The sequence below is a fragment of the Homo sapiens genome, chromosome 19 (assembly GCF_000001405.40).
Source record: "Homo sapiens chromosome 19, GRCh38.p14 Primary Assembly".
NCBI lineage: Eukaryota > Metazoa > Chordata > Mammalia > Primates > Hominidae > Homo > Homo sapiens.
Window position 1 is genome coordinate 9,496,904 of NC_000019.10, and position 24,429 is coordinate 9,521,332.

At 43.3% G+C, this 24,429-nt stretch overlaps 1 protein-coding gene, 1 long non-coding RNA gene and 1 pseudogene across 8 annotated transcripts in view; 1 reads left to right on the forward strand and 2 right to left on the reverse strand.

Annotated features, from left to right (window-relative positions):
- The window catches only part of ZNF560 (zinc finger protein 560), a 60,817-nt gene extending 51,028 nt beyond the window's left edge, over positions 1-9,789 (reverse strand). For 3 of the 5 annotated variants that reach the window (XR_007066601.1, NM_001351678.2, NM_152476.3), the window contains exons 1-2: positions 1,635-1,713; positions 1,225-1,312 (exon numbers count right to left, since the gene is read on the reverse strand). The gene's annotated coding sequence lies outside the window, so the exon portion shown is untranslated. Of the gene's footprint in view, positions 1-1,224; positions 1,313-1,494; positions 1,590-1,634; positions 1,714-9,668 lie in introns of those variants that run through there. The other 2 variants (XM_011527697.3, XM_011527696.3) reach the window with 2 other exon arrangements.
- On the reverse strand, positions 10,905-23,937 carry LOC105372268 (uncharacterized). 3 transcript variants are annotated; one of them, XR_001753862.2, is made up of 3 exons: positions 23,232-23,937; positions 17,612-17,751; positions 10,905-13,604 (listed from the first exon to the last, which is right to left on the reverse strand). It is a non-coding gene; the product is annotated as an uncharacterized LOC105372268 (long non-coding RNA). The 3 variants fall into 3 exon arrangements; XR_936308.3 differs by lacking the exon at positions 23,232-23,937 and having other exon boundaries at positions 10,905-11,653; positions 13,308-13,604; positions 17,612-17,813; XR_936307.3 differs by lacking the exon at positions 23,232-23,937 and having other exon boundaries at positions 17,612-17,813.
- LOC100418883 (actin beta pseudogene) lies at positions 21,744-22,601 on the forward strand (annotated as a pseudogene).
- Positions 23,938-24,429: the final 492 nt, after the last annotated feature.

The window sequence follows — 24,429 nt, forward strand, 5'->3', positions numbered from 1 at the left end:
CCACCCTGGCGACAGAACGAGACTGTGTCTCAAAAAAAAAATAGAATGAAATCCTGTCATTTTCAACAACGTAGATAGAACTGGAGGACAGTACGTTAAGTGAAATAAACCAGGCACAGAAACACAAAGTTGGGCGTGGTAAGCGGTGGTTGCAGTGAGCCAATATCATGCCACCGCACTCCAGCCTGGGCAACAAGGCAACATCCTGCCTCAAAAAAACTCTCAAAAAAAAAAAATCTTGAATAGAGCTCAGATCCAAAAACATTCCGTTATATTTTAGAAGAATTTGGAGAATTTTCATTTATTATACATAGTAAATATTAGATAACATTATTATTTTTAATTTTCTTGATGCAAATAGTATTACGGTTTTAGTAAAACAACACTCTTATCATTGAGTCAGGCATTACCCACTACTTAAATGTCGAGCTTACCATCCTGGCTATCACGGTGAAACCCCATCTCTACAAAAATACAAAAAATTATCCGGGCACGGTGGCACACCCCTGTAATTACAGCCACTTGGGAAGCTGAGGCAGGAGAATCGCTTGAACCCGGGAGGCAGAGGTTGCAGTGAGGCGAGATCGCGCCACTGCACTCCAGCCTGGGCGACACAGCTAGACCCCCTCTCAAAAAAAAAAAAAAAAAAAAAATGTCGAGCTTCATCTCTGCAATGAATTTCCCATTGACTCTCAAACTGTTCACCATAAAATTTATTTACGAGACGGCGAATACACAAAACGCTAAAAAACAGGTGCAGCTACAATGGATATTTATTCGTGGTACTGGATGGTCAACATACCCATAGGTTTAAGTTTTTTCGAAAAAAAATGCGGGAAAAATACACTTAGTACAGTCATCCTGTTAATGGTAAATTCGATTATTCTAGTATTAGTGTGTAAACCCTCCATCCTTTCTTCCAGGAAGCCTGGTTATGAAGCTCTTTGGAGACGTACAGAGCTAGGAACTTCAGATGAAAAGAATGGCTGAGTATTCTTAGGTTTCTTTAGTAGAAAGACTCGCGGTCTACAAACGTTTATATGCACATGCAGAAATACGCACACCCTAGACAACTAAGAAAGCACCTTTCTACCGGAACGTAATGTGTCAATAAAAAATATACAGGTTTCACAAAGGCAAAATGCCAAAATCTCACATGAAACACTCGTTTGCATAAAAAAGGAAGCAGCTGCCCCCTTAAACCAACTTTTTCCCAATGCTCACCCGAACACGGTGGAGTCGCCAGGTCCGTGGGGCTACAGGATCTTGGGGACGGAGTCAATCGAACGCGAACGGCAAAATTCTTTTCCCTCTGAAACACAATTCACAAACGTTGCCTTGGAGACTTATTTTTTAAGGCCTCAGAACGCTTGGACACTTTTGAAGACGGGAACACACGGCTGAAAACAGCCCTCGGACGCGCCCATACTGCACTTCCCACCCGGCTCCTCTAGGGGACCGAAGGTCCCAATGGCCTCTTCGACGTGGCCTCACCCGATGGCTCCGCGACTCCTGCGGACTCCTGTGGAGTGGTCCAGGCCTCTGTAAGGAGGTTCCTCGATTACCCTGGGTCGATTGTGACCTCTGCCACCCCCCGAAACACCGCCCAACCCACTAGTCCACACGAGCCTCACCAAAGTAGTGAACGACCAGACAACACAAAGGAAAAAGTGGCTCTGAGGAAACAGGCGCCAGCGACCAAAAGAGAGAACTGGCGCGCCGCAACGTCACTTCCGTTTGGGGCATTGGAAGGGGCGTGGCTCGTTGTGTGGGCAGTTGGACAGGATGGAACTCTTCAGGATTCTAGTTTCCCTCCGCGTGGGTGCGGAGGTATCAAGGGGTCGGCTCAGTGCCTGGGTGGGCAAGAGAGAAATGGACCCACAGAGAAAGGTGGGGGTTAAATCAGGGCTGTGGGCGGGGCCCATGCCCGGGGGCGGGGCTGGAGGTGGGACCAGACCCAGCCGGTGGCTTCGGTGGCAGAATGGACCAGGAAGGCGAAACGTCGGGCGATGGACTCGCCCCTCAGGATGCTCATTAGAAACTTTCCCCACGTTCCTGGACCCCTTTCAGGATTCTCTCCAGTTGATAACCTGCCAATCCACAAAATGGCCTGCTTCCTGCATTCGATCACGTCTTTAGAACTTTATTTTCTCTTATTTCTTTTTATTTATCTGACCTTGCTAAACTCTAATCATTGATTCCTCTGCGTTTTCAGTTATCGATACTTTCTGTAAATATTGCAATTTTTTTCTTTTCTTTCTTTTTTCTTTTCTTTTCTTTTTTTCTTCGAGGTAGGGTCTGGCTCGGTTGCCAAGGCTGGAATGCAGTGGTAGGAACACGGCTCACTGCAGTCTCCACCTCTCCAGGCTCAAGCCATCCTTCCACCTCAGCCTCCCGAGTAGCTGGGACCACGGGCGCACCGCACCCGGCTAATTTTTGTATTATTATTATTATCATCATTATTATTATTTTGTAGAGACAGGATCTAACCATGTTGCCCAGGCTGGTCTGGAACTCCTGGGCTCAAGTGATCTGCCCGCCCTGCACTCCCGAAGTGGGATTACAGGCGTGAGCCATCATGCACCATGCCTGGCCTTATTGTATTTTTTTTTCTTCTTCAACAATGTATTTGTTACTATTTCTCAAATCTTATCAAATGATTCAAAGCCTCCTGTACTACTTTATGAAATAACACTGATACCAGGCATTCTTCACTTATTCTGTGCAGAAAAAGAAAGGACTGTTGGACTTGTGGTAGAGATTTAGTTGAATCTTCGGGTTATATTGGTATCTTTATAATACTGAGTCTTCCTATGTGTGAATATACAATATCTCTCTATTTAGGTCTTCTTTAAACTCTTTCAGTAATGTTTTGAAATTTTCAGTTTACAAATATTTTACCTCTTGGGGTAAAGTTATTCCCATGTAACTTATTTGTAAAAGGGATCACATTCTCAGTTTCCTTTTCTGATTGTTCATTGCTGGTGTATAGATACAAAACTAATTTTCATCTCTTGATGTTGTACTGTGCAACTTTACGGAATTTATTACAAGCTCTGCTAGTTTTCTTGTAGATTCTTCAAAATTCTCTATATATCAAATATCACCTATAAATATATTTTTATTTGTTCTATTCTAATTGAGAAACCTTTTATTTTATTTTCTTGTGTAATTGCTCTGGCTAGAATTTCCTGTAGAGGCTGGGCACGGTGGCTCACTCCTGTAATCCCAACATTTTGGGAGGCCGAGGTGGGTGGATCACCTGAGGTCAGGAGTTCAAGACCAGCCTGACCAACATGGTGAAACCCCGTCTCTACTAAAGATACAAAAAATTAGCCAGGCGTGGTGGTTGGCACCTGTAATCCCAGCTACTCGGGAGGCTGAGGCAGGAGAATCACTTGAACCTGGGAGGCGGAGGTTACGGAGTTTGCAGTGAGTGGAGATGGCTCCATTGCACTCCAGCCTGGGTGACAAGAGCAAAACTTCATCTCAAAAAAAAAAAAAAAAAAAGAATTTCCTGTAGAATGTTGAATAACAATAGAAAAATCAGACATCTTTCTCTCCTTCCTGGTCTTAGGGAGAATTTTCAGGCATTCACTATTGAATATCACGTTAGCTGTGTTTTCGTAAGTGCGTTTTGTCACGTTGAATAAACTCCCTTCTGTTTCTAGTTTTCTTAATTTTTTTTTTGAGACAATCTCGCTCTGTCACCCAGGCTGGAGTGCAGTGGCATGATCTTGGCTCACTGCAACCTCCACCTCCCGGGTTCAAGCAATTCTCTGCCTCAGCCTCCCAAGTAGGTGGGCACTCCCAAGTGCCCACCACAACACCTGGCTAATTTTTTTGTATTTTTAGTAGAGACGGGGTTTCACCAGCTTGGCCAGGCTGGTCTCCAACTCCTGACCTCATGATCCACCTGCCTTGGCCACCCAAAGTGCTGGGATTACAGGTGTGAGCCACCACGCCTGGCCAGTTTTCTTAATTTTTATCAAGGAAAAGTGTTGGGTTTCATCAAATGCCTTTCCTGCATTAGTTGAGGTGATTCTGTGGGATTTTTTGTCTTTTGTACTAATGTGAAGAATTACATTTTTTAAATTTCCTTTTGTTGAACCAACCTTGCATTCCTAGATAAATCTCACTAGTCATGGTGTATAGTGCTTTTAATGTGCTGTTGGATATGATTTGCTAATATTTTTTAAGGATTTTTGCATCTATATTCATGAAAGATAGTCTCTAATTTCTTTCTCTTTAGCTTTTTTTTTTTTTTTTTTTTTGAGATGGAGTCTCACACTATTGCCCAGGCTGGAGTGCAGTGGCACAATCTTGGCTCAATGCAGTCTTGACCACCACAGGCTCAAGCCATCCTCCCACCTCAGCCTCTCAAGAAGCTAGGACCACAGACGCATCACCATGCCTGGCTACTTTGTGTGTGTGTGTGTGTGTGTGTGTGTGTGTGTGTGTGTGTGTGTGTGTGTGTGGAGTGTTGCTCTTGTTGCCCAGGCTGGATTGCAGTGGTGTGATCTCGGCTCACCACAACCTCCGCCTCCCGGGTTCAAGCGATTCTCCTGCCTCAGCCTCTCAAGTAGCTGGGACTACAGGTGTGCATCACCACACCTGGCTAATTTTTTTCTATTTTTAGTAGAGACAGGGTTTCACCATGTTGGCCAGGCTGGTCTCAAACTCCTGACTTCAGGTGATCCGCCCATCTCAGCCTCCGAAAGTGCTGGGATTACAGGCATGAGCCACCACACCTGGCTAATTTTTGTATTTTTTTTTGTAGAGATGAGGTTTCGCCATGTTACCCAGGCTGGCCTCCAACTCCTAAGCTCAAGCAATCTGACCACCCTGGGCCTCCCAAAGTGCTAGGATTACAGGCATGAGCCACCACTCCCAGCAAGAGATATTTTTTATCTGGCTTCAGTAACAATGTAATGAATGGCCTCATGGATTTAGAAAGTGTTCTCTCTGGCCAGGCACAGTGTCTCATGCCTGTAATGCCAGCACTTTGGGAGACCAAGGCAGGCGGATCACTTGAAGTCAGGACTTTGAGACCTGCCTGGCCAACATGGTGAAAGCCAGGCTCTACTAAAAATACAAAAAATTGGCTGGGCATGGTGGCATGCACCTGTAATCCCAGCTACTGGGGAGGCTGAGGCAGGAGAATCGCTTGAACTCGGGAGGCGCAGGTTGCAGTGAGCTGAAATCATGCCACTGCACTCCAGCCTGGGTGACAGAGCAAGATCTCATCTCAAAAAAGAAAAAAAGAAAAAAAAAAGTGTTCTCTCATGTTTTGTTTTGTTTCGGTTTGGTTTGGTTTGGTTTGGTTTGAGACAGAGTCTCGCTCTGTTGCCAGGCTGGAGTGTAGTGGCGCAATGTCGGCTCACTGCAACTTCCACCTCCCAGGTTCAAGCAATTCTCCTGCTTCAGCCTCCCGAGTAGCTGGGACTACAGGTGCATACCACCACGCCCAGCTAATTTTTGTGTTTTTAGTAGAGATGGGGTTTCACCATGTTGGCCAGGATGGTCTTGATCTCTTTACCTTGTGATTCACCTGGCTCAGCCTCCCAAAGTGCTGGGATTACAGGCATGAGCCACAACACCCGGCCTCCTGTTCTACTTTTTTGGAGGATATTGAGAAACACTGGTGTTGATTACTCTTTAAATGTTTAGTACAATTCATTTGTGAATTGACAATTCATTGTTGGAAAGTTTTGAAATACTGATTTAATCTCTTTTCTTGTTATAGGTCTCTTGAGATTTTTCATTACTGTTTAATCCAGTTAATTTCTGTGTTTCTAGAAATGTGTCCACTTCATTTAGGTTATCTAACTAGTTGTACAATTAATTGTTCATAGTATCCTCTTATAATCTTTATTTCTGAATAGTTTGTTGTAGTGTGCCCCAGTTTCATTTCTAATTTTAATTATTTGCATCTTCTGCCTTTTTTGTCAATCTAGGTGAAGTTTTTCAATGTTATCGATCATTGCAAAGAGTAACTTTTAGTTTCATTGATTCTCATTGAATAGATTCTTATCTATTCTCCATTTCACGTATTTCCCTTCTTTATTATTTCCTTTCTTCTGTTAGATTAGTTTACTTTCCTCTTTTTTGGTAGTTCCTCAAGATATAAAATTATTTATAGGTATTTACAGCTATAAATTTCCTACTGAGGCCAGGTAATGTGGCTCACACCTGTACTCCCAGCACTTTGCGAGGCCAAGGTGAGAAGATTGCTTGAGCCCAGGAATTCAAAGCTGCAGTGAGCTGTGATCATGCCACAGCACTGCAGCTTGGGGGACCAGAGCCAGACCTTGTCTCAAATAATAATAATAATAATTTTCCACTGAGCACTCTCTTCATTGCATCCTATAAGTTTAGGTCTGTCCTGTCCATTTTTGTTTTTCTCTACATGTTTTCTTTTGTAATTTGTTTTTGTTGTTGTTGTTGTTTGTGACTAACAGAAATTTTTTTCTTATAGCTCTAGAGGCTGGAAAGTCCAAGAACAAGGCACAAGCAGATTCAATGTCTCAGGAGGGCCTGCTTCCTGGTTCATACGATTGTCTTCTCACTGTGTCTTCACATAGTGCAAAAGGAAAGGCAGCTATCTGGGCCTCTCATTTTAAAATTACTTTGTTTTTTGATATGTTTTGAGAAAGGATCTTGCTCTCTTGGGCAGGCTGGAGTAGAGTGGCAAAATCACAGCTTACTGCAGCCTCAACCAACTGGGCTCAAGCAATCCTCTCACCTCAATCTCCAGAGTAGCTGGGACTACAGGCACATGCCACCATACCCAGTTAATTTTTTAGAAAATTTTTTGTAGAGACAGGGGTTCACTATGTTGCCTGACTGGTCATGAACTCGCAGCCTCAAGTGATCCTCCTGCATCAGCCTCCCAACGTGCTAGAATTACAGGCATGAGTCATTGTGCCCAACCTAATTGCTTTAATTGACAAATTTTCATTGTACATATTAATGGAGTATAAAGTGATATTATAATTTATGAATATAATACAGAATAATTAAACGAAGCTAATTAACATATCCACCACCTCAAGTACTTATTATATTTTGTGGTAAAAACAGGTGCCTTGTAATTTGTTCTTGATCTCCTGTTTTTTAAGTGTGTGTTAATTCACACATATTTATGTATTTTAATGTTTTTCTGCCATTATAGATTTCTAGCTTAATTCTGTTGTGTTCTGACAGGTACTTTATATATATTCAGTGCTTTTAAATTTACTGAGACTCTGCTGGGTGCGGTGGCTCACACCTGTAATCCCAGCATTTTGGGAGGCCAAGAGTGGATGGATCATTTGAGGTCAGGAGTTGGAGACCAGCCTTGCCAACATGGTGAAACTCTGCTTCTACTAAAAATACAAAAGTTAGCCAGGTGTGGTGGCATATGCCTGTAATCCCAGCTACTTGGGAGGCTGAGGCAGGAGAGTCACTTAAACCTGGGAGATGGAGGTTGCAGTAAGCCGAAATTGCACCCCTGCCCTCCAGCCTGGGCAACAGAACAAGACTCTGTCTCAAAAAAAATAAAAATTAAAAAAAATAAATTTCCTGAGACTCATTCTGTGGCATATACATTTGACATATCCTGAAGATGTTCCATGTGAACTTAAGAATGTGTGTTCTCATGATATCAGATGGACTGTTCTACATGTCTCTGAGGCTTAGTTGGCTTACCGTATTTTTCAAGCTATGTCCTTACTGATCTTCTATGTAGATGTCCTTTTATTAAAAGTGTCATATATAACTCTCCAATTATTGCTATAGAACAATCTATTTCTCCCTTAAGTTTTGTCATATAACTTTGGGGTCTGTTTTTGGTGCATGCATGTTTATGATTGCTACATCTTCTTTTTCTAATTTTTAATTTTTTTAAGAGACAGAGTCTCGGCTGGGCACAGTGGCTCATTCCTGTAATCCCAGCACTCTGGGAGGCCAAGGAGGGTGGATCACAAGGTCAAGAGATTGAGACCATCCTGGCCAACATAGTGAAAGCCCATCTCTACTAAAAGTACAAAAATCAGCTGGGTGTGGTGGCACACACCTGTAGTCCCAGCTACTCAGGAGGCTGAAGCAGGGGAATCGCTTGAACCTGGGAGGTGGAGGTTGCTGTGAGCCAAGATTGCATCACTGCACTCCAGCCAGGCGACATAGTGAGCCTTTGTCTCAAAAAAATAAATAAATAAATAAATAAAAGACAGAGTCTCATTATGTTGCTTACACTGAACTTAAACTCCTAGGCTCAAGCAATCCTCCTGCCTCAGCATCCCAAGTTGCTAGAATTAAAGGCATATACCATCATGCATGGCTTATTACATCTCTTGATGAATTGAAGCTTTTATCAATATATTGCCATCCTTTGTATATTATAAAGTCTTTTACTTAAAGTTCGTTTGTCTGATATCATTATAGTCAATCCAATTATCTTTTGGTTGCTATTTGCATGGAATATCTTCTTCCCATCCTTTCACTAACAGCCTATCTGTTGCTTTTTATATAAAGTGAATTTCTTGTAGACAGAATACGATTTGATCATGGTCTTTATTATTTCATCCATTCTTCAACAGCATGACTTTTTCTTGGAGTGTTTGATTCATTTACATTTAAAGTAAAAATAAAGAAGGATTTTCTTCCTGCCATTTTGCTATATGTGTTCTGAATGTCTTATACTTTTAGCTCCTTATTTCCTCCACTGCTGATTTTTTTGTGTTTACTTGATTTTTAGAGTGAATCATTTAACTCTCTTCTAATTTTCATTGATTTTGTTTTGTTTTGTTTTGTTTTTCAGACAGTCTTGCTGTGTCGTCCAGGCTAGAGTGCAGTGGCACAATCTTGCCTCCCAGGTTCAAGTGATTCTCATGTCTCAGCCTCCTGTGTAGCTGGGACTACAGGCTTGTGCCACTATACCTGGCTAATTTTTGTATTTTTAGTAGAGACAGGGTTTCACCATGTTGGCCAGGCTGATCTTTAACTCCTGACCTCATGTGATCTGCCCACCTCACCCTCCCAATGTGCTGAGATTACAGGTGTTAGCCACCACACCAGGCTTTCATTCATATTTACTTTCTTTCTTTCTTTCTTTCTTTCTTTTTGAGATGGAGTCTTCTTGCTCTGTTGCCCAGGCTGGAGTGCAGTGGTGTGATCTCAGCTCACTGCAACCACCACCTCCTGGGTTCAGGTGATTCTCCTGCCTAAGCCTCCCAAGTAACTGGGATTACAGGTACGCACCACCACGCCTGGGTGATTTTTGTATTTTTAGTAGAGACAGGGTTTCACCATGTTGGCCACGCTGGTCTCGAACTCCTGACTTCAGGTGATCTGCCTGCCTCAGCCTCCCAAAGTGTTGGGATTACAGGAGTGAGCCACTGCACCCAGCCAAAACTTTAACAGCCCTCATAAGGATTACATTTACCATTCCAAAGTTATATTATTTGAATTTGTACCTACTTAACTTCAATAGCATACAAAAATTCTGCTATACGACTGCACGCTTCTGTTGTTTTTTTTTTTTTTGCAAAATATATCTTTATATATTGTATGCCTAAAACATACACTTATAATTTTTATTGATTTTTAAAAAATTCAGTAAAAAGTAAAAACTGGAATTAGATACAAAAATACCATAAATGTGGTTTTATATTTTCCAATATACTTACCTTTACTAGAGATCTTTATTTCTCCACACAGCTTGAGTTACTGTCTAGCATCCTTTTATTCCATCCTGAAGAACTCCTTTTAGCATCTCTTTTATGTTTATTTGTTTATTTATTTATTTATTTGAGACAGAGTCTCACTCTGTTGCCCAGGCTGGAGTGCAGTGGCACGATCTTGGCTCACCAAAACATCTGCCTCCCGGGTTCAAGCAATTTTCCTGCCTCAGCCTCCCAAGTAGCTGGCAGTACAGGCATGCACCACTGTACCTGGCTAGTTTTTGTATTTTTAGTAGAGACGGGGTTTCACTATGTTGGCCAGGCTGGTCTCAAACTCCTGACCTCGTGATCCACCTGCCTCAGCCTCCCAAAGTGCTGGGATTAAAGGCATGAGCTACCACGTCCAGCAGCATTTCTTGTATGGCAAGTGTAGTGGTAACTGTCCTTGGCATTAGTTTTTCTAGGAATGTCTTAAATTCTCCCTCATTTTTGAACATTTCTGGTGAGCACAGAATTCTTGGTTGATAGTGTTTCTTTTTCAGCTCTTAAATATGTCATCTCACCGACTATGTCCCCCATGATTTCTGATGACATATTTGTTATTAATAGTATTGAGAATCACTTCTTTCAGCACTCTTTGTCTTTGCCATTTGACATTTTGATGATATGTGATTCACTGTAGGCCTGAGTTTCTCTTTTTTTAATGTTTTTTTTTTTTGAGATGAAGTTTTGCTCTTGTTGCCCAGGCTGGAGTGCAATGGTGCAATCCCAGCTTACTGCAACCTCTGCCTCCCAAGTTCAAGGGATTCTTGTGCCTCAACCTCCCGAGTAGCTGAGAATACAGGCACCTGCCACCACGCCCGACTGAGTTTCTCTTACTTGGAGTTTGTTGAGCTTCTTGGATTTAAAGATTCATGTCTTTCATCAAATTTGGAAAGTTTTGCTTAATATTTCTTCACATTTTACTTCTTCCCCTTTATTTCTCTGTTATCTTTCTTCAGCTTCCATAATGTGTATGTTGGTCTGATGCATGGTGTACTACAGGTCCTTTAAGTTCTGTTTGGTCTTCATTCTTTTTCCTTTAGTCCCCTCAGAGTTGATATTTTTCAAAGGTTCTATCTTCAAATTTGTGGATTCTTTCTTCTGCATGCTCACATCTTCTATGGAAGAGAAGATGCAACCAGTGACCAAAGAACTAATGTTAGGAGTTTGGCTTTACAAAGAAAATAGCTCCATGTTATCTTATTTAGAATTGGTAGGTATTTTATTTAGAAAGTATTTTGAAAAGAAAGTAAAAAAGGATATAATCTAGAAAGAAAAGTACAGAAAACTTTACAAAGAACACTAAATAAAAACGTTTAAAAGGAATTAAAACAGTTCCTTCTCTGAGAATAAATGAAAATGTGAATAAATGGATAGACAATGAAAAGGTGGAAAATCTCATGTAATAGTGTTTTTTATCTTCTGCCACAGACCCCAGAGGACTGAGCAAAGGAGGATGAACACAGGAATAAAGACAAAGATAAAAAGATCTGTTTTAAAAGAAGGGGTCAGGGGGCTCCTTGCTTCTAGTGAACAAGGGCCCTGAGCTTCTAGAGCCCTTTGTATTTATTGAGTAAAGGAAATAGGGAGGAGCAGGTGATCATGAGCCAGTTGCATGATTTAGTGCAGGCCTGCATGTCTGCTTTCCTTGAACAGTAGGCTCCAGATATTCCAGTAGATAACCTCAAGGTGCACAGTGCCAGGGAGTGATTGCCCTCAGCCTACCTTCTGGTGGCAGGCACAGATGTGAGTTTGCCCACATCCTGCATTCATGATAAACAGTTTGCTGTTTGATCATATAGCCTCCAATGGAATGCTGAGTTGGTCATGACCCTCAGGTTTTCAGCTCCCAATATCTCCCCCTTTCTGTTTTTGCATTAATTGAATGAATGTAAGGCCAGGTTGGGCAGCTCTCATTTTCTGATTGGCAGTCCATCCAATTTTATAGACTATGAACAGAAAACAAAGACAGAACAGCATTATTCCCAGAACTATACATGAGATGTTAATGTGGCGCTTTAGATAGGTCCAAGGATTGAGGCTCTCCAGACCTCACTGGAATTTGGTCCAGGCTTCTAAAGAAGGCTGAAACTCTTGAGTTTGCTTATTTAAACCAATAATTTTGTTTCATAATTCACCAATATCAAAGGCGATATTGGATGTGAAAGCTCCCTGCAAATGGGCTTTCACAAGGTCCCATGGATACTCACTTTGGTTATATTCTAAGTTGGTTACACAAATATGAGTGTGATTAAAATGACAGCACAATTGCTGTTGCAATTGTAAGCTTTGTACTTGTTGCCCTAACCATGGAACCATGGATTTCAACATTGCCACTTCAGTTTGTAACTCAGTGTTAATTTTACTCTGAAGTAGCCATATTTTCTTGGTGGTACATGTCTAGTTCTCCACGTACTGAGCTGTTTGAACAGAACTATGCAAAGCTACAGAGGACATTACTACAGAAGTTATTAGTGTGACCAAGGAAATAATAGCAAAAATTATCATGCCTAAGACTTTACGGGTACAATGAGTAAGCTGAGTTAGAAGTTTCATGAAGTGCAAAGCAGGGGTGGAGGCCCAAGGCTCTGACAGATTAACAGGAATCCATATCCCAGGGATGCGACCCATAATTATCAAGGTAGAGATGTGTTTGCAATGTGCTATGATTAATGCAGTGATATAACTGACAAGATTTACAGGTCAATTGGGTATTGTTTACCTGGAGCTGGTCCTTCTTAGCTGCCATAAAGACATAAGGATTAAAAACACAAACCGTAAATTTAGTGGTGATACTCTTTACAAATGTAACATCAAAACTGTGTCGAGTAGCAGTACTAGTATTAGAGAGTACCCCTACCCAGATAGTACCATTTGTAAATGGGACTGCTGCTTTCCATATTGTTTCTTGAATTGGACCTTTCCTACCTAGATATTGCCACTGAAGAAGAGGCGGGATAAAGCCTGTTCCATGCCAAGCAACCCTGGCAGCAGAATGGGATTGGATCCTGGTGTGGTGTAAAGAAGAAGCATTGAAAGTCTGCTACCAATGACAGTGAAGTTTGTGCCATGATGTCTGATTTTATCTTTACCATCTAGTTGACCTTTAGGTCCCCAAGTCACAATGTCTTCAGTTAACATAGATTGTTTTCTAGCCAGTGGGCCAAGACATTGGGTCCATGGAGCGGGGTAGGAACTATTGAAGGGAATCCATTCCATATAGTCAACACAATTGGGGTGATTGGGCCGGGAATGGTTGGTTAGCACACCAGTTACATTAATAGAACTAAGACCTAATAAGCACATGACTTTTCCATGGTGACTCAACCATGCTTGAGCTTGAATTGTAAGACAGCTACTACAGTTGAGCAATATCTTTGTAGTGATACACCAGGGGAGTCCTTCCAGTGGGGCCATATAATTGATGACATTGTTCTGAGAGTCTAACTGTTCTATGTCAGGAGGAGTTAGAGGTCCTGGAGCCCATGCTCCCTGATCATGATAGATCTCAGGGGGAGTGCCACTCCAAAGTACAAGCCATACTACTAGGGGATTAGAAACATATGCCCAATATGTTTTTGCCTCTGCAGAGAGAAAACATACCACACAGGACATTATGGCTAACATGGCCAAGAACATGGATTCAGGGGTTTTTGCCTGGCCCTGACGCTCCAGCATTTTCTCAGCTTCCTGCGTGGTTTTCTTGAGTTGCCCTCAGGTTATGGGGTTTGATGTCCTCGTGACTCCGGTCAGCCTTTTCTCCATCTTCACACTCAGGCTCAGCTGGCTCATGGCCCATACCGGAGGGACCAGGCCCATGGTTGGCCGCCATGGATCCCTCCAGTCTCCTGTTCCATGGTTGCATGCACCTTGAGGACACCCAAATGGTTTGTCCATCTCCTGTAAAAACACAAGCATACCCTCATCCCCATGTCAATAAGTCCACCAGGCCTTTCCATTGTCCTTCCAGGGATTTCCATAACACTTTCAGAAGAACTTTCCTCTTTTTCTCTAACACTTGCCAATGTCTTTCTGCTGGAGTCTTACCACCAATACCAGGAGTCAAAAAATTTAAAGTAAATAGGGCTAAGTGTAGTTTTGTTTGAGGTAGTAGCTGGTCTGCTATTCCCTCTTTCTGTTTTTTCAACATGCATTGTAATGTTTGATGTGCCTACTCTATAATTCCTTGTCCTCAAGGGTTGTAAGCAATTCCTGTTTTGTGAGTAATAGCTCAAAGCTGTAGGAAATTTTGAAAAGCATTACTAGTATAAGCAGGTCCATTTGCCAAGACCAGCTCGGTCAGGGAGACACTAATCCAGCGGTGCTAGAGGAATTAAAGGCACACACACAGAAATATAGAGGTGTGGAGCAGGAAATCAGGGATCTCACAGCCTTCAGAGCTGAGAACCTCGAACAGAGATTTACCCACATATTTATTAACAGCAAGCCAGTGATAAGCATTGTTTCTATAGATTATAGATTAACTAAAAGTATTCCTTATGGGAAACAAAGGGATGGGCTGAAATAAAGGGATGGGTCTCACTAGTTATCTGCAGCAGGAGCATGTCCTTAATGCACAGATTTTTCATTCTATTGTTTGTGGTTTAAGAACACCTTTATGTGGTTTTAATTGGTAGCAACCAATTAATGTCCCCTAACAATTGTCAAAAATCATTTAAAGTCTGTAACCTGTCTTTACAGAGAACCATTTTCTGAGGCCGTACACTCCTCTCCATAACAATAGTTCCTAAGTAATGGTATGGGGAAGTTGTTTGCACTTTCTCTGGAGCAATTTTGAGCTTCCATTTAACAAGAGCTTGCTTTACTTCTCTCAATAATTGATGCAATATTTGATCTGTAGGTGCAACCAAAAGAATATCATCCATGTAATGAATGATATATGCAGTGGGAAACATATTTTGAGGCTCTTTTAATGCTCTTTGCACAAAATGCTGACATAATTTGGTACTGTTAAGCACGTCTTGAGGTAAAACTCTCCATTAATAATGAGAAACAGGTTCTTTTTTTATTAATAGAAGGCACAGAGAAGGCGAATCAAGGCTTATCTTTCTCATGTAATAGTATAGTAAAGAAACAATCTTTAAGATCTGTTACTACAAGAGGCCAGTCCCTTGGGATGGCTGCAGGGATGGCAGACCTTGCTGTAATGCACCCATTGGTTTAATCTGTGCATTAGTAGCTCCCAAATCATGTAGCAATCACCATTTCCCTGACTTCTTTGGAATTACAAATACTGGTGTATTCCAGAAGCTAACTGACTCTTCAATATGTCACGCATCTAATTGCTCTTTTACTAGCTGATGGAGTTGAGCTAGTTTCTCCTGTGATAGGGGCCATTGATCCACCCACACAGGTTTGTCAGTCAGCCATTCTAGCAACAAAGCAGTGGGGAGAGGAGAAATATTAATGACTCCAATCATAAATCCTGATGTCCCTATCTTTTTCTGTCTTTCCAGTTATTGATATCAGGTTAGGGTTTCCTTGTAGGAATTTTTCTAAACCTTTCCCATTCTGATATCCCATGTCTTTCAACATTTTAAATCCTGGGTTATCAACGTGTTCATTTGTAGGTCACATATCCCAAGCTGTAAGTAAGTCTCGACCCCATAAATTGATAGCTATATTTGCAACATAAGGCTGGAAAGTACATGATTGTCCATCCGGACCAAGACAAGGTAAAATCTCAGCACTCTGTTGAATGCTTTGAGCAGCTCCTATTCCCACTAGGGATGTGGAGGTTCATCTGAGGGGCCAAGATGGAGGCCAATCCTTACTAGATATTACTGACACATCAGCTCCTGTATCTACAAGCTCATAAAATTTTTTTCCTTTAATTTGCACTACACAGGTGGGTCTATTAGAGGCTATGGGTTGTGATAAATAGATTTCTCATGCAGTTGTGCTCTCAAATCCTTTATTTCCTCATTTCTCCTTTCATGGAGAAGGGTGTAATTTGCAGGGGATAGGCAATAATTGCACTATATATGCACCTGGTTCAAAAACCCAAAGATCTTGTGACATTAAAACTACTTTAATTTCTCCTTCATAATCAGAGTCAGCTACTCTGGGGACTACATTGATGCCTTGCAAGTTAAGGCAGCTTTGCCTAAAATTAGTCCCATGTATCCTGCTGGTATATGTCCCCAAATGCCAGGGGGGACTTTGGTAGGTTTGTCTCCTCCAATTAGTGTAATTCTTTCTCTGGCGGAGAGATCTAATCCTGCACTTCCTGGTGTTCCTGGGGAAAGGGAATCAATATTTGTCCTGGGACCCACCCCTGAAGTGGGGTTGTGGTCTGAACTGGGAATGCCCTCATTGTTTGAGGGGCCCAGGTCCAGGCCCCCTTATCGTTTCCCAACAGGTGGGGTGCCATTCTGATGAAATTTTGAGTGGCATTGATTAGCCCAGTGATTTCCTTTGTCACAGCGAGGACAGAGTCCTGGCATTTTTTCTGCTGGAAAGGACACCACATTGTAAAGTCCTTTCTTTTCTGAGATCTGGTGGCATTCCTTTTTAAAACTTCCAGTTTTTCCACAATTTTAACATTTTCCCACTTTGGGGTTTGACCCTTGGCTCCCTTTAGATTTGTCAACTACTAAACTAGCCATTGCTTGAGCTAACATTGTAGAATGATGATTCAGTTCCTACACCCTGAAAGGCTTTAAGGTAATTCCCCAAGCTCTTTGTGGATCTCAGAGCAGCCATTGCATGCTTGCAATCTGCATTTTCATTTTCATAGGCTAGAGTTATGGTAAGCATTTCTGTAGCAGAGGCCTGAGGGACCTGATGCTGCACTGCCTCTTGCAGCCACGTGATAAATTGTCCATAAGGTTCCCATGATCCCTGCATGACAAGTAGAAAAGACTGCACTGGAACTCCCTCTTCAGGAATTGTGCTCCAAGCATGCTTAGCGGCTAAGGCAGACTGGAGGTAAGCGGTCTCTGGGAGTGTTAATTGTTGTACCAGATCTGAAAAGGGGTCACAGCCTGTCAGCATTTTCTCTGTAGTGTTTCCTTGACCAGAGGCATGATTCTGCCCAGCCTGGTCTGTGCACATTTCTTGTCAATTTAAACTCCATGCGAGATATGCACTGACAGATAAGCAAGTGCGAGCCAAATGTTTTATATCAAAGGGTGGGAGGCGCATGGCTCCAAACACTGATACTAACAGCCTTATAGTAAACAGGCTTTGCAACCCATTATTAACCACACTAGCTTTTAATTCTTCTAGTAATTTAAACTCTACAGGACTGTGCTCATGTAAAAGATGTTGCAGATCATTCGGATCAGGCCTTACAGTAATAGGAAAACTGCAAGGTCCTAAAGGTTCCCCAGCCGTAGCAGCAGCACACAAAATTTTTTGTACATGGGTTTCTACTTCTGTTACTGGATGGGGTGGCAGAGGTCAATTCTCCTCTCCTATTTCCTGCTTAGCAAACAGCCAATTCTCCTCCCCTTTCTCCTGCTCATTATTTTCAATAGGCACTGTCAGAGAAACAAATGATGTTTTTAATTCTTGAGACTCAGAACCTGACTCCTGTTGTCTGACAGAATAAGAAGACAATGGCAGTAGGACCATGTGAACCAAAACCCAAGCAGAAAAAACAGAAGGGTCTACTTTGAGACATTTTGATGAGCCCATTTCAATCCCTCTTCTACTTTGTCCCAATTTTCTACATTGAGAGTGCCTGCCTGCAGAAACAATGGGTTATGTGTCATAACCTCCTGCAGAAGCCTAGTTAATGTCTGTGAATTAACTTGAGCTCCAGGCTGTTTCAACAGAACTTTAAGCAATTGCACATAATGTTTTTCTTCAACAGACAAATTCTGCCCCATGTTACCCTGATTCAGAACTTCCCATTCCCAGCACTTCTTTAGAGCACTGACCTTATACTCCCTGCTGGCAGATTTGTCCCTAGGTCCTCGTTCATCTTGTTAGCTTCACTTCCTCTGCTCCAGCAGACCTTCTTCATTCACGTCCTTGAAGTCCCTGTTCATGATGCCACTTTGCCACAGACCCTGGTGGACTGAACAAAGGGGGACAAACAGAAATAAAGACAAAAACAAAAATATCTGTTTTAAAAGAAGGGGTTGGGGGCTCCTTGCTTCTAGTGAACAAGGGCCCTGAGCTTCTAGAGCCCTTCATATTTATTGAGTAAAGGAAATAGGGAGGAGGGGGTGATTGTCAGTCAGTTGCTTGATTTAGTGCAGGTCTCCATGACTGCTTTCTTTGAACAGTAGGCTCCAGATATTCCAGTAGATAACCTCAAGGAGCACAGCACCAGGGAGCGATTGCCCTAGGCATAACTTCTGGTGGCAGGCGCAGATGTGAGTTTGCCCACATGCTGCATTTATGATAAACAGTTTGCTGTTTGATCATATAGCCTCCAGTGGAATGCTGAGTTGGTCACAACCCTCAGGCTTTCAGCTCCCCAAATTTTTCACTATAGAGAATTCCTTTATGTAAGGAATTACTTCTTTCAGCACTCTTTGTCTTTGCTATTTGACATTTTGATGATAATGTGACTCACTGTGGGCCTCTCTGAGTTTCTCTTACTTGGAGTTTGCTGAGCTTCTTGGATTTAGAGATTCATGCCTTTCGTCAAATTTGGAAAGTTTTACCCATTATTTCTTCACATTTTAATTCTTCCCCTTTATTTGTCTGTTATCTTTCTCCAATGGCTTCTCACTAGACAAGGTTATCCCACACAATGACACTTTTCTGCCTGGGGCTCACCTGTACAGGTGACTTGAAGGATTCCTCTCTTCTCTGACCTCACCATTTTGTGCTACACCTTCTTAATCATACTACATTTGCAGAGCTGATACCCTGCTCATGGGACAAGACACAGGATGTGGGAGTCATGAGTAGGAGACAAGAACTTTGCATAAAAAGAATTCTAACACTTTGGATTTAAAGCGTTCTGAAGATAGACAAGTCCAATTTTAGAAACAGCAAAATAATAAGAGTAGAAAATTTTCACAAGGACTCAAAAGCAAATACCCTCACTCACTACCCCATATAGAACTAATCCTTGAAAACCATAACAGAGAAAATGAAATCCGTGCAATGAACAGATTTTTATTTTCCTGGGAAGTCACTAGACTGCCTCACAAGGACAGGAACCATCCATTTTGTGTTCACCACTAACTTGCCATTATTATGGCAAATCTTGGAACACAAGACATGCTTAAGAACAACTATTTGCTGCATTACGAAAGAAGAAGGAACAAGGCCAGCCTGCTCCATCAAGGTTAAGTTTCTAAAGTTCTCCAGCAACATGTCTCTGTACAGGTTTTCCCAAACAAAGTCCAGTAATACCCACTCCTCCAACAATAAGTCTACTGCCATTTACTTGAAGGTCAAGGAGTTCTAAAACATCACTCATATATTCTGGCTCAGGCAATGAGCATCTTCAAGAATGTACCAGGATGGATATCGCAGGAGGATGATGGATGGGCTGGTAGCACTAGGGAAGGAGACTCAAAACAGGAATTCAGACATGTTCTTGAGGCCACTTATTATCTGCCCCATGACTAACTTCTCTCCTCTTTTACCCACAGACACTGAACCACCTTCTAGATAGAAGCTTTAATGGCTTCACTAGCATATAGTTGACCTGATTTTTCCAGTATGTTGTAAAAACTCATCCAGTGGCCAGGCATGGTGGCTCATGCCTGTAATCCCAGCACTTTGGGAGGCTGAGGTGGTTGGATCACCTGAGGCTGGGAGTTTGAGACCAGCCTGACCAACATGGAGAAACCCCATCTTTACTAAAAATAAAAAATTAGCCTGGCATGGTATCTCATGCCTGTAATTCCAGCTACTTGGGAGGCTGAGGCAGTAGAATTGCTCAAAGCTGGGAGGTGGAGGTTGTGGTGAGCCGAGATTGCACTATTGCACTCCACCCTAGGCAACAAGAGTGAGACTCCATCTCAAAAAAAAAAAAAGGGAGGGGAGTAGGGGAGAATGAATATTGAGAAGACAACTAGCTATTATTTGACCTGCGAGGTCAGAGAGAATTTTCTTATAAATAAGAATAAAGAGGCCAGGAGTGGTGGCTCACGCCTATAATCCCAGCACTTTGGGAGGACGAGGCAGGTGGATCACGAGGTCAAGAGATCAAGACCATCCTGACCAACATGGTGAAATCCCATCTCTACTAAAAATTAGCTGGGTGTGGTGATGCACGCCTGTAGTAATAGCTGTAGTTCCAGCTACTCAGGAGGCTGAGTCAGGAGAATCGCTTGAACCCAGGAGGTGGAGGTTGCAGTAAGCCAAGATTGCACCACTGCACTCCAGCCTGGTGACAGAGCAAGATTCCACCTCAAAAATAAATAAATAAAAGAATAAGGAAGCTGAGCGCGATGGTTCATGCCTGTAATCCCAGCACTTTGGGAGGCTGAAGTAGGTGGATCACCTGAGTTCAGGAGTTCCAGACATGCCTGTCACCCCAATATGGTGAAACCCCGTCTCTACTAAAAATACAAAAAATTAGACAGGCATGGTGGCACGTGCCTGTAATCCCAGCTACTCAGGAAGCTGAGGCAGGAGAATCACTTGAACCTGGGAGGCAGAGGTTGCAGTGAGCTGAGATCATGCCATTACACTCCAGCCTCGACAACAAGACTAAAACTCTGTCTCAAAAAATATATATAAATAAAAATAAAGGGCCAGGCGCAGTGGCTCACACCTGTAATTCCAGAACTTTGGGAGGCCAAGGTGGGCAGATCACGAGATCAGGAGATCGAGACCATCCTGACCAACATGGTGAAACACCATCTCTGCTAAAAATACAAAAATTAGCCAGGCGTGGTGGTAGGCATCTGTAGTCCCAGCTACTCGGGAGGCTGAGGCAGGAGAATTGCTTGAACCCAGGAGGCAGAGGCTGCAGTGAGCTGAGATCGCGCCACTGCACTCCAGCCTGGACAACAGAGCAAGCCTCAGTCTTAAAATAAAATAAAATAAAATAAAGGCCAGGTGCAGTTGCTTATGCCTGTAATCCCAGCACTTTAGGAGGCCAAGGCAGGAGGCTCTCTTGAGGCCAGTGGTTCTCGACCAGCCTGTGCAACATAGTGAGACCCCCATCTCTATTTTTTTTTTTTTTTGAGACAGAGGCTCGCTCTGTCGCTCAGGCTGGAGTGCAGTGGAGCGATATTGGCTCACTGCTAGCTCTGCCTCCCAGTTTCACACTATTCTCCTGCCTCAGCCTCCTGAGTAGCTGGGACTACAGGCACCCCACAACGCCTGGCTAATTTTTTTGTATTTTTTTAGTAAAGACAGGGTTTCAGTGTGTTAGCAAGATGGTCTCGATCTCCTGACCTCGTGATCTGCCTGCCTCCGCCTCCCAAAGTGCTGGGATTACAGGAGTGAGCCACTGTGGCCGGCCCCCCATCATCTCTATTTTTTTTTATTTTTTTTTTAAAGAAGAAATGCGACCGCTGAGACTGCATCTATCCCGCGAGCACAAAGCCTTGCCCTGGCCACTCTGCCGCCTATACACGCCCGCTGTCAGCTCACCATGGATGATGATATTGAGGTGCTTGTAGTTAACAATGGCTCCGGCATGTGCAAGGTCAACTTCGTGGGCGACAATGCCCCCCGGGCCATCTTCCCCTCCATCGTGGGGCATCTGAAGCACCAGGGCGTTATGGTGGGCATCGGTCAGAAGGACTCCTACGTGGGTGAAGATGCCCAGAGCAAGAGAGGCAACCTGACCCTGAAATACCCCATCGAGCAGAGCATTGTCACCAACTGGGATGACATTGAGAAGATCTGGCACCACACCTTTTTTTTTTTTTTTTTTTTTTTGAGACGGAGTCTCGCTCTGTTGCTCAGGCTGGAGGGCAGTGGCGCAATCTCGGCTCACTGCATGCTCCACCTCCCGGGCTTATGCCATTCTCCTGCCTCAGCCTCCTGAGTAGCTGGGACTACAGGCACCCGCCACCACACCCGACTCATTTTTTGTATTTTTAGTAGAGATGGGGATTCACTGTCTTAGCCAGGATGGTCTCGATCTCCTCACCTAGTGATCCACCCACCTCGGCCTCCCAAAGTGCTGGGATTACAGGCATGAGCCTCTGTGCTCAGCCTGGCACGACACCTTCTACAATGAGCTGCATGTTTCTCCCAAGGAGCACCCGGTGCTGCTGACCGAGGCCCCCTTGAACCCCAAGGCCAGCCATGAGAAGATGACCCAGATCATGTCTGAGACCTTCAACTCCCCATCCATGTATATAGCCATCCAGGCTCTGCTGTCCCTGCACGTGGCCTCCAGCTTCTCCCTGAAGAAGAGATTCCAGCTGCCTGACAGCCAGGTCATCACCATCAGCAACGAGCGGTCCCCGCTGTCCCATGGCACTTTTCCAGCCTTCCTTCCTGGACATGGAATCCTGTGGCATCCATGAAACTACCCTCAACTCCATCATGAAATGTGACATTGACATCTGCAAAGACCTGGATGCCAACCCAGTGCTGTCCAGTGACACCACCATGTACGCTGGTATTGCTGACAGGATGGAGGAGGAGATCACCACCATGGCTCCCAGCATGAAGAAGATCAACATCATTGCTCCTCCTGAGCACAAATATTCTGTATGGATCAGTGGCTCCATCTTGGTCTCGCTGTCCCCCTTCCAGCAGATGTGGATCAGCAAGCAGGAATACGAGGAGTCCGGCCTCAGTATTGTCCACCCTACCACAAATACTTCTAGGCGGACGGTGACTTACATTATAACCTTTCTTGACAAAAACCTAATTTATGCAGAAAATAAGATTGGTTTTTTTTTTTTTTTTTTTTGGCTTAAGATTTAAAACCTGGAATGGTGAAGGTGACAGCAGTTAGTTGGAGCGAAGAATCCCAAACGTTCTACAATGTGGCTGAGGACTTTGATTATACATTGTTCTTTTTTTAAATAGTCATTCCAAATATCGGGAGGTGCATTCTCTTTTTTGTTTTTTTGAGACAGAGTCTCACTCAGTCGCCCAGACTGGAGTGCAGTGGTGCAAATTGGCACAGTGCAACCTCCGCCTCCCAGGTTCAAGCGATTCTTCTGCCTCAGCCTCCCAAGTAGCTGGGATTACAGGTGCACCATCACACCCAGCTAATTTTTGTATTTTTAGTAGAGATGGGGTTTAACCATATTGGCAAGGATGGTCTCGAACTCCTGACCTCATGATCCACCTGCCTCAGCCTCCCGTGCTGGCATTACAGGCGTGAGCCACCTCGCCCGGCTGGGAGGTGCATTCTTACTGGAAGTCCCTTGCCCTCCCAAAAGCCACCCCATTTCTAAGGAGAATGCCCAGTCCTCTCCCAAGTTCACATGGGGTGGTGATAGCATTGCTTTTGTGTAAATTATATAAAATTTTTTAAATCTTTGCCTTTGTATTTTTAATTTTGAATGATCAGCCATCATGTCCCCCCATTTTTGTCCCCCAACTTGAGATGTATAAAGGCTGTTGGTCTCCCTAGGGGTGGGTGGAGGAATGGAGGCAGCCAGGGCTTACCTGTACACTGACTTGACAGCAGTTGAATGAAAGTGCACACCTTAAAAAAAAAAAAAGGAAAGAAAAGAAATTCCATGTAGACCCATGGTATGACCAATTATCAATGACACTAGAGAGGACTATCTAAAAGCATCTATTAATAATCCCTCATGACAGCCAGGTGAGGTGGCAGAGGTTGCAGTGAGCAGAGGTTGCACCCCTGGACTCCAGCCTGAGTGACAGAGGGAGACTCCATCTCAAAGCAAAACCAAAAAATCCCCAAGTTTTGCAGAATCTGGATTTTATGGAAAAAAAAAGAAAAAACAAAAACAAAAAAACTTATCTTGGCAGTTAAACACACGCTCACTGTTAAATGAACATATAATGCAAATGAGAAAGTGTTTACAACTGCAGTCATGAAGAAAGTGCTAATTTATAAAATGTGCATAACAGAACAAGTAATATATTCAGAAACTCTTTCAAAAACAAATTTAATCACATAAAACCACCACAGAAAACTAAGGGGCCACACGTCTTATCTGAGAATAGGACAAACAGAAAGACAATTTCATCTTCATGTCATTTATTTGAATGTATCCCCAAAATGAATTATCTTATTTGCAACAAGAGTGATACAGAAAGGCTTCCAGAGCTGGGCAGGGTGGGTCATGCCTGTAATCCCAGCACTTTGGGAGGCTGAGGTGGGTGGATCACCTGAGGTTGGGAGTTCGAGACCAGCCTGACCAACATGGAGAAACCCCGCCTCTACTAAAAATACAAAAAAATTAGCCGGGCGTGGTGGCGCATGCCTGTAATCCTACTCAGGAGGCTGAGGCAGGAGAATCGCTTGAACCTGGGAGGTGGAGGTTGCGGTGAGCCAAGATCCCACCATTGCACTCCAAGGCTGGATGCCTGGAGAAACCCAGTGGACACATTCAGCTTTCAGCTTATTCCAATCATGACTGAAGAGGCCCAGCCAGAAAATAAGGGTCCCCTTGAGCCAGCAGCTTAGCTTCAGGTGGAGAAATGCATGATAAAATTATGATAAAGTTTTTCCAAAAGATGTAGCTGCCAATAGGTAAAGCCACAAGGCTGCTAATGTCAGGCTGCTGCACTCATTCCGTTTCCATTTCTATGTGACCAGCGAAGCTTACTGGGACATTCCCTTGCTGGTCACTGAATTCTTTGGAGATGTCAAGCATTCAGTTTCAGAAAGAGA